General features: G+C 37.9%; 1 pseudogene; it reads right to left on the bottom strand.

The window, feature by feature from the left end:
• Positions 1-3722: 3722 nt before the first annotated feature.
• Positions 3723-5368, bottom strand: EEF1A1P35 (eukaryotic translation elongation factor 1 alpha 1 pseudogene 35; annotated as a pseudogene).

The raw sequence follows: 13532 nt of genomic DNA, 5'->3' as shown, positions 1-13532 counted from the left end.
TGCTTCTCCTGAAAAAACAAGGTAGTATAGTTGTATTCAAAATCAGATGGCTATATTACAGGATAAAATTCTCATTTTCCTGTAACTTATAGTCTTCTGTTTACTGGTTGTCTGACTCTCCAATTATGGGAATTTATTAATCACAAATCAAATGAACGCATTCGTTTCATTTTCTGCTGTCTTTTTCTCTCTCCAGTTGCCAAGTCCAGACACAGACGGAGAGCAGTCAGCAGCTCTAGCCAGGATGACTGACTGTAACTGTATCTGAACTGGTTGTAGTGCTCAGCAGAGAGTACGTGTTTCTACAAACTTTTTGAAATATTAATACACAAATTGTACTGAGGTTTTTGATAGCAGAAGACTGGCTGCTCTGTGGTTTTCTGATTAGGGTTCTATTGGTGATTCCGAGAAGTCAGTGGCGCCTAAATGGGTTAAGTCTAATGAGGTTTTGAAAGCTGATAGCATAATTTAACATGACTTTCAATCTCAGAGCCTCAGCCCTGGCTGACCCCAGCAAATTACAATGTTTGTTAATGCTCTGGTATAGACATCTTCTATTCAACCCAAACCAGATATATTAAGTGAAACAATCGAGTGGTGCTTCTCTTAAGAAATATTGTTCCTGGCTACATTTTGACACACCTTCAGATCAGAAATTTTTTATGGTATCTGATACTCCCAGTTTTTTAGAAGATGTCTTCAGTATACATACACACACACACACACACACACACACACACACACACACACAGATACATACAGGGTTGGCTGAGTTCTTGTTGAGAAAATATAATCTTAACATTTTTATCATTGAAATTGTCTGCAATACTTTTCTCATGGAAAATCTAAAATCAATTTTAAAAATTGCAAGCAAAAGGAAAAAGCCAAGCCACAAACTTCCTGTGGTAAAACAGTTAGAAAAACAAACCTAACAAATGAACAAATAAAAACACTTCAAACAGAATATTTGCATATGCTGTAAAACTAACATGAGAAGAAAGGCTGTGATTGTAAAATTATTTAAATACATTTTTTAGAGAATCAATGTTAATTTCACAATGATAGTGATAGGCTACTGGTGGTTTAGAAGTGAAATTTTCACATATATTAAATATTAAGGTTTAATATTATATATTTCTTAAGGTAGAAATTATACGAACTACAGTTCACAAACAAAGATTTACTTTTAATATCAATAATTTCTTTTTAGCTTAAGGTGGTTATTTATAAATACAGCACCATTGCAGCTTTCCAAATTATGAGAATCCAGATGAAAGCTTAGAAGCTTTGGAAACTTCACTGGAAGCTGATGTTACTCAACCTTTATACCTGTGGGTTTTCCTCAACTATATGAAAAGCATTTTCACCTGATTTTCAATTAATATTTTAAAAACAAATTATGTTTAAAATTCTTCACTACTTATATCATGCAAGTCTTAAAATTGAATTCACTTGAATCAGAATTAGCAGTAGTTTTTAACCTACTAAGATTAAGTCTTTTTTTGAACAAGCTAATGGTGCAAATGTTATGAAGCAAATGTTTAATTATTTAAAGCAAATGGTTCTTCATTTAAATGTTTGCAATTTGATGTATTTCAAAAGGTATAGTTGTCCAATTTACTGAAATTAAGGCTTATTTCAAATTTTAATTTTTAAATAATTTTAACTTTACACATTTTAAGCAATTAAAGCATCCTTATGAAAATATTCAGTTTTCTATGAAGAACATTTTATTCAAATTAAGTTTAGAAAACTAAAAATAAATCTTAGAAAAAGAAAAAATAACTTTATTTTAAAATCTCTATGATTTTAAAAACTAAACATAGTTATATTTATAATATTTCCAATATTATAAAGCAAATAATGAATTAATGTATTTTACATCTAATGACTTAGTGTTTAATTAGAAATTATTTCATTGTATTTTTAAATTTGGGGTGGGGTTGTTGTTCATAGATCTCCAAAAGTACAAAGCTCACCTTATACTAAACAAGAAATAGTAAAAAAAAAAAAAAAAAAAAAAGGCTGGGCGCGGTGGCTCACGGCTGTAATCCCAGCAGTTTGGGAGGCTGAAGCAGGAGGATCACAAGGTCAGGAGATGGAGACCATCCTGGCTAACACAGTGAAACCCCATCTCTACCAAAAATACAAAAAAGAAATTAGCCGGGCGTGGTGGTGGGCACCTGTAGTCCCAGCTACTCAGGAGGCTGAGACAGGAGAAACAAATACATATCAGATGTTATGTTTTTAAAATATCTGCTATACATCAATCATTTTAAATATTTACACATGTATTTCAACAATCTAGCTAATAGTCTAAGTTTTAATTTTTCTCTTTTAGAATTTACTTGCATTCTGATTATAATGCATATAGGTCCAATATTTAAAATTATTATGGCATTTTTTGATTTTACCCAAAAGCTTTTTACTGAGCTCAGTCACCTTTATTTGATTGCTTCGTTAAAAGAGCAAAAATGTCTAAATTCTTCTTTAATTTAAAAAAATAGGATTTTTAAAGAAATACTGTTTTATTAGAAGAGGGATTATCAGTTTAAATGAGGAACATGTATGTGATTGAAGTAGACATTTTAATTTTAATTTTACGAACACTACTACTTATAATATTAAACAGGCACACGATTCCTGTGCTTAACTATTCTGCATTTGGTATAAAAGTCCTTATGACTCACATTAATAAAAAATAATCCCAGTAATTAATTTTACAAGAAATGTAATATTTTCTAAAATAAATATGTCCTTGTTTGTCAAAATTAAAAATTAGAGTAGCTTTTATCTTACTCTTGACTATGTTTAGCAAATGTTTGAGGAAATCATATTATATTCTTGAAAATTTTTATATCTAGTTATCTTTCCATTTCCTGGGCTTTTACTTAATTGTGTTTCATAGATTTCATGTACTATTGTTTAAATATTTATTTACTCATTCATTTCCTATAAGCAATGTCAAATAGAAGAAAAGACTTAAATTGAACAGGTTTGTCCAGGGGAGGGTTGGTCTGGAGGAGTGGAAAATCTTTTGAATCTATACTACTTCTTAGATCATTAACCAGCATCTCAGTAGAACACTTTTCAGAAAGAAAGGGAGACGGATGCAGTTGTCTTTCCTCTCCATTTATTTTTTATGGTTATTTATTCACAGATGATGTGGGGCAGACTGTGTGGAGAGATAAAGCATGGGTAATTTACGGGCAAATGTAATCCTCGATTGGCTAGGATATTCAAAGTGCTCTAAGGAATTAAGAGGAAAGTAGGTCATTTGAATAATAAATATTTTAAACATTTACTTCATAAATGAAGCTAATACATACTTGTTCTAAAAACAGAAAAAAATTGTTTCAGATAGGATAAGGAAGAAAGTTAAACAAAACAGAATTATTAAACCATGCCAGTTTCCACACCTCTATGAATTTCAGTAGGTGGTCCACTTCTGACAGTGTACAAACCAGCTGGAGAGTTTACTAATGAAAGACAAGATACATGTGTTGACACAGCATTAAATGATTGGTTTGTCACTCCCTCAGGATGTGAATTGTGGATTCCATTCTGTAGTAGCACAAACTAACTGCTTTTATCATCTTGGTTTTGTTTGTTTGTTTGTTTGTTTTTCTCATTAAACTTTTTTAATGGGTCTCAAAATTCTGTCACAAAATTTTGGTCAAGTTGTTTCCACTAAAAAGTGCTAATTTAAAAAACTAATAACTTAAAACTGCCACACACAAAACAGAAAATCAAAGTGGTCCACAAAACATTCTCCTTTCCTTCTGAAGGTTTTTATGATGCATTGTTATCATTAACCAGTCTTTTACTACTAAACTTAAGTGGCCAATTGAAACACACACTTCTGAGACTGTTCTTCCACCATTGATTAAGACTAGGCGGCAGGTATTAGGGATAATATTCATTTGGCCTTCTGAGCTTTCTAAGCAGACTTGGTGGCCTTGCCTGCTCCAGCAGCCTTCTTGTCCACTGCTTTGATGACACCCAGGACAACTGTCTGTCTCATATCATGAACAGCAAAGCAATGCAGAGGTGGATAGTCTGAGAAGCTCTCAACACACATAGGCTTGCCAGGAACCATATCAATGATGGCAGCATCACCAGACTTCAAGAATTTAGGGCCATCTTCCAGCTTTTTACCAGAACGGCAATCAATCTTTTCCTTCAGCTCAGCAAACTGGCAAGCAATGTGAGCCATGTGGCAATCCAGTACAGAGGCATAGCCAGCGCTGATTTGGCCTGAATGGTTCAGGATAATCACTTGAGCAGTGAAGTCAGCTGCTTCCATTGATGGGTCATTTTTGCTGTCACCAGCAACATTGCCATGATGAACCTCCTTGACAGACACATTCTTGACATCGAAGCCCACATTGTCCCCAGGAAGAGCTTCACTCAAAGCTTCATGGTGCATTTCGACAGATTTTACTTCAGTTGTATTGTTGACTGGAGCAAAGGTGGCCACCATAGTAGGTTTGAAAACATCAGTCTCCACTCGACCTGCAGGAACAGCACCAATACCACCAATTTTGTAGACATCCTGAAGAGTCAGGCACATGGGCTTCTCAGTTGGACAAATTAGTGATAGGATGCAGTCCAGAGCCTCAAGCAGCGTGGTTCCACTGGTATTGCCATCCTTACAGGTGACTTTCCATCCCTTGAACCAAGGCATGTTAGCACTTGGCTCCAGCATGTTGTCAACATTCCAACCAGAAATTGGCACAAACGCTACTGTGTCAGGGTTGTAGCCGATTTCTTAATGTAAGTGCTGACTTCCTTAATGATTCCCTGATATCTCTTCTGGCTGTAAGGTGGCTCAGTGGAATCCATTTTGTTAACACAAATGATTAGTTGTTCACACCCAGTGTGTAAACCAGAAGGGCATGCTCTCGGGTCTGCCCATTTTTGAAGTTACCAGCTTCAAATTCACCAACACCAGCAGCAACATTCAGGACATTACAGTCAGCCTGAGATATCCCTGTAATCAGGTTTTTGATGAAGTCTCTGTGTCGTGGGGTATCAATGATAGCCAAGTAGTACTTGCTGGTTTCAAATTTCTACAAGGAGATATCAGTGGTGATACTACGTTCACGCTCAGCTTTCAGTTTACCCAAGACCCAGGCATACTTGAAGGAGCCCTTTCCCATCTCAGCAGCCTCCTTCTCAAATTTTTCAATGGTTCTTTTGTCGATGCCACTACATTTGTAGATCAGATGGCCAGTAGTGGTGGACCTGCCTGAATCGACATGTCCAATGACGACAATGTTGATATGAGTTTTTTCCTTTCCCATTTTGGCTTTTAGGTGTAGTTTTCATGATGCCTGTGTTCTGGCAGCAAACCCATTGTGAAAAAACTATCAACTTGTTTTTTTTTAACTTTAACTTCTCACACAAATTAACAGCTTTCTGTTTGCCATTTGCATGTTTATTTCATGCCATGCTTGGTTAGGATTAAAATTGCCTCACTAGTTATGCACTTCAAAATTTAGTACTTCTTCAAAGACCTGCAGGATGACTTGATGAGTATGGAATGCAATTCTCTTCTTTAAATCAAATTAAATGTAAGCTGTCTATGTTCAATACTGCAAGGGTACATTGTGTATGCAATAAATTGAGAATAACTCAATATAAAGAGATGATTTTATGTCTTCCATGTCTAAAATATATGCAATATGATTGGCTAGCTATGGATTTTTACTCCTGGTTTACAGCCACAGGGGAATTTTTAAATTGCAACACTGTAGATCTATGACATTGTGTCTCTGAATATAAACAGCAACAGGGCCCAAAGAAATCAAAGCTCAAGTTTCCTTTTGAAAAAGAGACTGGTGTAAGAAAACAATCTCTCCTTGTTATCACCATGGGATATATCTATGGACTTGAGAGGTCATATTATCATTCAAATCTTTAAAGTCATTTTTTCAGGGTGAAAGAATAAGCAAAAATAAAGCACACTCCTGAGGGTTATGCAATTTAGTTAGCTCTGGAAGCAACAGTGCTAAGTAGGTAACAGTGGCCAGGAAAATAGACCTATAACTAGTTAAAATAAAAAGTAAAGAATCTTACAGTCTTTAAGTTTTCTTATCAAAATAACAAGAATTACCACAACCATTAAACTGATTAGTAGTTCTAATTAAGAGACATAAAACAAAGATTATAAACATAATGAAACTGACCTAATCTGCTATTATCGATGTTCACATACTTATTGACAACTGAGATTGACACAAATTTATTAATCTTGATTTGATAAACATCGGCAAGTTTTTCCTTCAGAAAATCAGTAGTTGGGTAGTTACTTTAATTGAGTATTTGTTTAGCTATGTTGGTTTAGAAACACAATACTTATAAATTCCAACACTTCTATCTATTCTCAATTTAATTGTATTAAGATAAGAAAATATGGTCAATTTGAAGAGAGTCAAATTTTAGAAAAATATGATATTGAATATTATTTAGAAACATCAATATGTCTAATTATTGAAAATCAAATTTTCAGACACAAATCTGATGAATGTTAAAATTGATTTTATTAGTTCCTTTTTTTAGCCACAATGAGGCTGTAATTATTTGCACTAATTCTGTTTAAGTGTACTGCAAACTTCAGTCAAAATGTTAGTAGAAAAGTTTCCTTCATCAAATATGTAGATAGAGATAGCACTTTCAATTTGAGAAAACAACAGTTTACGAGAGTAAGTAATAACTGATTTAAACTGTATAAAATTGGACTGGTCTATTATGGTGCCTAATTATACTAGTTATATAAAATTTCAAACCACGTATCAAATATTCAGCATCTCTTGAGCAAGACAATGTGTAAAATGCTGTGGAAAACTCAGACATGAAGAGTACATATTTATATTGAAAAATCCAGTATTTGCTCAAGGATAAGGCTTTATTTTGTGTAACTTCATTTATTTTGAGATTGAGAGCATGGACTCTATAGAGTTAGAGAGGATAGATTCAAATCTGAGACTAGTCAGTGTCAAAACTTCAAATTGGAAGATTGAAAATAAGTTATAACACTTTGAAGTCCTATTCTGTAGTGTCATCTAGATTTGATAAAAGAATGTCTCACTTTTCTTATCTTTTTTCCCTCAAGAATGTTTTCTCATTCTTTATATGGTACTCACATATTTTCTTGGCTGTGAAGTTTGCTTTAACTTTTCTAGATAGTTTTGGCATTTTTGTTCTCCTATTATGTAGCTTTCCATAGATAGCCCTATTTAACAAAAATTTTTAATATAAATATATAAATTTGTTCTTTTATCTTAATCACCTCATATATCATGGTGATTAGATACAGCAATTAAATTTTTTTAATATTCAGATACAAAGTGGATTGAGTTTATTTTTGAGATACAGATTGAGCATTCCTCATAGGAAAACTAAAATCTGAAATGCTCAAAAATCTGAAACTTTTTGAGTACTGACATAATGCCAGAAGTGTAAAACTTCACACCTGACCTCATGTGATGGGTCAGAGTCAAAACATAGGCAAAATGTTGTTTCATGTGCAAAAATATGTAAAATACTGTATAAAGTTACCTTCAAGTTATGTGCATAAGGTATATATGAAACACAAATTTTTTGTTCAGACTTGGGTGTCATCCCTAAGACATCTCATTACGTTTATGAAAATATTCAAAAATCTGAAAAGATCTGCAATCAAAAACACTTCTGTTCCCAAGCATTTCAGATTAAGGATTACTGAACCTATATATGTAAGGACTTTCTTCTCCTCTATTTCTTTCCCTCCTGTCATTTTGTTCTCTATGTCTTATTCTGATGTGTCTTCCCTGATCAACAATTCCCTTTTCTTTTTTCCCACAGACACTTATTATAAATTAATGAATGTCCTCAAACATATGTACACTTGAAAAACACGTAAGGAATGTACATTTAATTAAGAAAATAATATATAATATTTTATTCAATGTTGTATTAGTCAAAGTTCTCTAGAGAGACAGAACAAATAATATATGTATAAAGGAGGGTTTCTTAAGTATTAACTCACACAACCAAAAGGTCCCTCAATAGGCTGTCTGCAAGCTGAGGAACAAGGAGAGCCAGTCCGAGTCCCAAAACCGAAGAACTTGGAGTCCAATATGTGAGGGCAGGAAGCATGGGAGAAAGCATCCAGCATGGGAGAAAGATGTAGGCTGCGAGGCTAAGCCAGTTTAGCCTTTTCTTGCTTTTCTGCCTGCATTATATTCACTGGCAGCTGATTAGATGGTGCCTACCCAGATTAAAGGTGGGTCTGCCTTTCCCAGCCCAATGACTCAAATGTTAATCTCCTTTGGCAATGCCCTCACAGACATACCCAGGATCAATACTTTGTGTCCTTCAATCCAATCAAGTTGATACTCTGTATTAACCATCACAAGTCCACCGCTTGTCAACTTGAACCCATACACATCTCCTGAGATGATATATAATCTTCAAATAAAGACAATAATAAGGTCATAATTATGCCTAACATAATACAACTATCCTTCACACAACTGGAAATGCACCAATCCCCAACCCAAATGCTATTAAATAAAGTTAACAATACTTAGGTGCTGATATGAAATAAATAAATTTTATGTCACATGATAAAGGAGAAAGAAAATAAAATGAAGATATTTTCTTAGTAGAAGTGTATTCATGCACAAACATGTTTTTAACAAAAGAAGGAGGAAATACTCATGACAATTACAGTCCTCCTTTCTGTATCTGGTCACATGGTCATAGCTGTTATTGATGACTACCTTCTTCTACTACCCATTCTGTGTTATTCCCTTTGCCTTCAGCAAACACCCCAGCAGGTCACGGTTATTTTCCTGGTGGAGTGACCCAAATCTTCATTCCTGAAGGGTCTGGGACATTTGTAATCCTGCCTGAATTGAGCTGTTGTAGTTTCCCATTGACCTTAATCACAGGACATGGTAATATTAAGAGACACCCTAATGGATCTCCTGTATTCCATGTATACTCTTCCTTACCTCAGTTGTGGAGTAATAGACTGATTTCATCTTGATACTCCGGGTCAATCACCACAGCCAACACTGTAACTCCCTTCTTGGACTATTGACTTAAATGTAGGAGGAGCGCAAAGTGTCCAGGTGGCAATCTTAACTTCCACTGTAGTGGAATTATTGTTGTGCCTTTTGGTGGGAGCATTCCTCCCTCTGAAACTAAGACTTCTAGGCCAGCAAGATGTAATGCTGTGGGAACAGGAAACAAAAATTTTGCTAGTGGATCACTAGGGGTGATGGTGAGTGGTGCCACTTCCACTTCCACCCCTTGATTCCTGGACCCATTAATCCTGGCTATGGGAGAAACAGTACCATATATTGGACACTGATTCAGGGCATACACGGCCTTCTGGAGAACTTTGCTCCAGCCCTGCAAAGTAGTCACCTAGTTGTTGTTGTAATTGTGACTTCAAAAGGTCATTCCACCGGTCTATCAATCCAGGTTTTTCTGGATAATGGGGAATGTGGTAAAACCAATGAATTCATTAAGCATGAGCCCACTGCTGCACTTCTTTAGCTGTAAAGTGAGTGCTTTGGTCACAGGCAATGCTGTGTGGCATACCATGACAGTGGGTAAGGTATTCCATGAGTCCACAGATGGTAGGTTTGGCAGAAGCATTGTATTCAGGATAGGCAAATCCATATCCAGAGTGTCTATTCGGGATATGGAGAAACCTTGCCCTTTCCAGGATAGAAGAGGTCCAATATAATCAACCTGCCACCAGGTAACTGGCTGATCACCCCGAGGAATGGTGCCATATCGAGGGCTCAGTGTTGGTCTCTGCTGCTGGCAAATTGGGCACCCAGCAGTGGCCAAAGCCAGGTCAGCCTTGGTGAGTGGAAGTCCGTGTTGTTGCACCCATGCATAACCTCCATGATGGCCACTTCGTTCATGGGCCTATTGGGTGATGACAGGGCTGGCTGGGAAAGAGGCTGAGTGGTGTCCACAGAACAGGTCATCCTATCCACTTGATTATTAAAATCCTCTGCTGAGGTCACCCACTGGTGAGCACTCACATGGGATACAAATATCTTCACAGTTTTTTACCACTCAAAAAGGGCCATCCCACATACCTCTTCCCCAAATGTCTTTGTCATCAATTTTCTAATCAGATTCTTTCCAAGCCCCTGGCCATCCAACCAAATCACTGGCTACAGTCCATGAATCAGTATATAATCGCACATCTGGCCATTTCTCCTTCCAGGCAAAGTGCACAACCAGGTGCACTGCTCGAAGTTCTGCCCACTGGGAAGATTTCCCTTCACCACTGTCCTTCGGGGATGTCCTTGACAGCAGCTGTAGTGCTGCAGCTGTCCACTTTCGGGTGGTGCCTGCATATCATGAAGAACCATCTGTGAACCAGGCCGCAGTCTTCTCTTCCTCCATCAACTGATCATAGGGAAATCCCCATGAGGCCATTGGTGCAGGCTGAGGGAGAGAAGGCAGGGTGGCAAGAGTGGAGAACATAGGCATTTGAGCCACTTCCTCATGTAACTTACTTGTGCCTTCAGGATCTGCTTGAGACCTATCACATATATACTACTTCCATTTGGTGATGGAATTCTGCTGTGTACCACCCACTTTAAGGCTAGATGGGTTAGAAAGCATCTAGTTCATGATAGGTAGTTCAGGTTGCATGGTGACTTGATGACTCATAGTCAAATGTTCAGTTTCCACCAAAGCTCAGCTATAGGCTGTGATGGTTAATATTCAGTGTCAACTTGATTAGATTGAAGGATACAATGTATTGATCCTGGGTGTGTCTGTGAGGGTATTGCCAAAGGAGATTAACATTTGAGTCAGTGGGCTGGGATAGGCAGATCCACTCTTAACTGGGTGGGCACCATCTAATCAGTTGCCAGCAAATATAAAGCAGGCAGAAAAATGTGAAAAGGAGAGACTGACCTAGCCTTCCAGCCTACATCTTTCTCCCATGCTGGATGCTTCCTGCCCTTTAACATCAGACTCCAAGTTCTTCAGTTTTGAGACTTGTATTGGCTCTTCTTGCTCCTCAAGCTTTCAGACAGCCTATTGTAGTAACTTGTGGTCATGTAAGTTAATTCCTTTTAAACTACACACACACACACACACACACACACACACACGCACACACACATCTCCTATTAGTTATGTATAACTAATACATATATCCTGTTAGTTTTGCTCCCCTAGAGCACCCTGACTAATACACAGGCCAAGAGCTGTCTCTCAAAAGGAGGATAGTGTTCTGCAGAAGATGGCAAGGCCTTGCTCCAAAATCCTAGAGGCCTCCACTGTGATTCACATACAGGGACCTGCCAAAGTCTCCAAACTGCATCCCTATCTGCCACTGACACTTCAAGCACCATTTGATCTGCTAGGTCATCTGCCACTGATGCCACAAGCACTGTTGGATCTACTGAGTCATATGGCCCAAGTGGTAAAGCAGCTTGCACCGCAGCCTGGACCTGTTGCAAAGCATTCTCCTGTTCTAAACTCCACTTAAAACTGGAAGCCTTTTAGGTAACTCAATAAATGTGCCAGAGTAACACAACCAAATGAGGAATGTGTTGCCTTCAAAATCCAAATAACCCACTAGCCATTATACCTCTTTCTTGGTTGTAGGAGGAGCCAAATGCAGCAACTTATCCTTCACCTTTGAAGGAGTATCTCCACATTCCCCATACCACTGGATCCCTAGAAATTTTCCTGAGGTAAAAGGTCCCTGAATTTTAGTGAGATTTATTTCCCATCCTCTGGCATGCAAATGTCTCACCAATAAGTCCAGTGTGTTTGCTACTTCTTGTTCACTGGTTCCACTCAGCATAATGTTATCAACGTAATGGACCAGTGTGATACCTTGTGGAAGCGAAAAGCCATCAAGTTCTGTCTGAAAAAGATTATTACAGAAAGCTGGGGTTTTGATATACCCCTAAAAGGGTAGTAAAGGTATATTGTTGGCCTTGCCAGCTGAAGGCATATTGCTTCTGGTGGGCCTTATGGACAGGAATGGAGAAAAAGAAATTTGCCAAGTCAGTGGCTGCATACCAGGTACCAGGAGATGTGTTAATTTGCTCAAGCAATGAAACCACATCTGGTATGGCAGCTGCAATTGTAGTCACCACTTGATTAAGCTTACAATAATGCACTGTCATTCTCCAAGATCCACCTGTCCTCTATGAGGCCAAATGAGAGAGTTGAATGGGGATGTGGTGGGAATCACCACCACTGTGTATTTCAAGTCCTTGATGGTGGCACTAATCTCTGCAATCTCTCCAGCGATGCAATATTGTTTTTGAGTTATAATTTTTGTAGGTAGAGCCAGCTCTAATGGAAGCCATTCAGCCTTTCCCACCATAATAGCCCTCACCCTACCAGTCAGGGAGCCAATATGGGGGTTCTACCAGCTGCTAAATATGTCTATGCCAATTACGCATTCTGGCACTCAGGCACTGACCACAGCATCAGTCCAGGGACCCACTGGACCCACTGTAAGTCGGAAGTGAGCTAAAACTCCATTAACTACCTGACCTCCATAAGCCTCTACTTTTATTGGAGGACCACATTGACATTTTGGGTCCCCTGGAATCAACGTCAGTTCAGAGGCAGTGTCAAGTAGTCCCCAAACTGTCTAATCATTTCCCATTCCCCAATGCACAATTACCTTGGTAAAAGGCCAGAAGTCTCCTTGGGGAAGGATGGGACAAAGATTCACTGCATAAATTGTTGATAATGTAGTGGGGTCCTTCTTCAATGGGACTCAGCCTCCCCATCATTCAAGGGGTTCTGGGTCTGTAAACTGGCTCGTGTCTGGAAATAGATTGAGGGGTAATAATTCTCTGTTTTTATGATTTAAATTACTCTTTTGTCTATTTTACCTAGAAGTTTTCTGCTTGTATAAATTAAGTGGGAATGCAGTAGGCTTCTTATCAATTTCACTTCTAGGAACACCGCAATTAATTAGCCAATGCCAGAGCTCTATACAAGTCAGACTCTTCTGATTGCACTTTGCATCTGCTGTTTATTACGGTAGCCATGCCCACCTTGTCTTTGATGGTTGTGTGCTGCCACTAGGCCCCTGCCACCTCGGGATGCAGTTATTCCCATTGTATTTAAATTTTGTAGTTGAGTGACTGCAATTTCCACTGTTAGACCTGACATACAGAGAAAAACAATTGCAGGGCTCTTCAGAAAATGCAGGTGCTGCCCTCACAAATCTATTTTGCAAGGCGTTGGTCAAGAGTATATTTTCTGGACCCTCCCAGCTGGGATAAGTATATCTAAAGTGACTAATCCACTCCACCATCCCTATCTCCCTAAGGCTTTGGTTCACTTCCTCTACCTTAAACCAAGGGAGATCAGGTATTCCCAGCTCACTCACAGTGAACCATTTTTTAATTCATATTTCAGCTAACCAAGCAAATAAACTACTAGAACCTTTTTTAACTCCCTGAGCTGCAACATGAAATGCAGAATCCTACTTAGTGGGCCCAAATCAATAAATTCTGCCTGATCCA

This window comes from Homo sapiens, chromosome 4, assembly GCF_000001405.40.
Source record: "Homo sapiens chromosome 4, GRCh38.p14 Primary Assembly".
Classification (NCBI taxonomy): Eukaryota; Metazoa; Chordata; class Mammalia; order Primates; family Hominidae; genus Homo; species Homo sapiens.
This window is presented reverse-complemented; position numbering and strand designations above follow the sequence as displayed.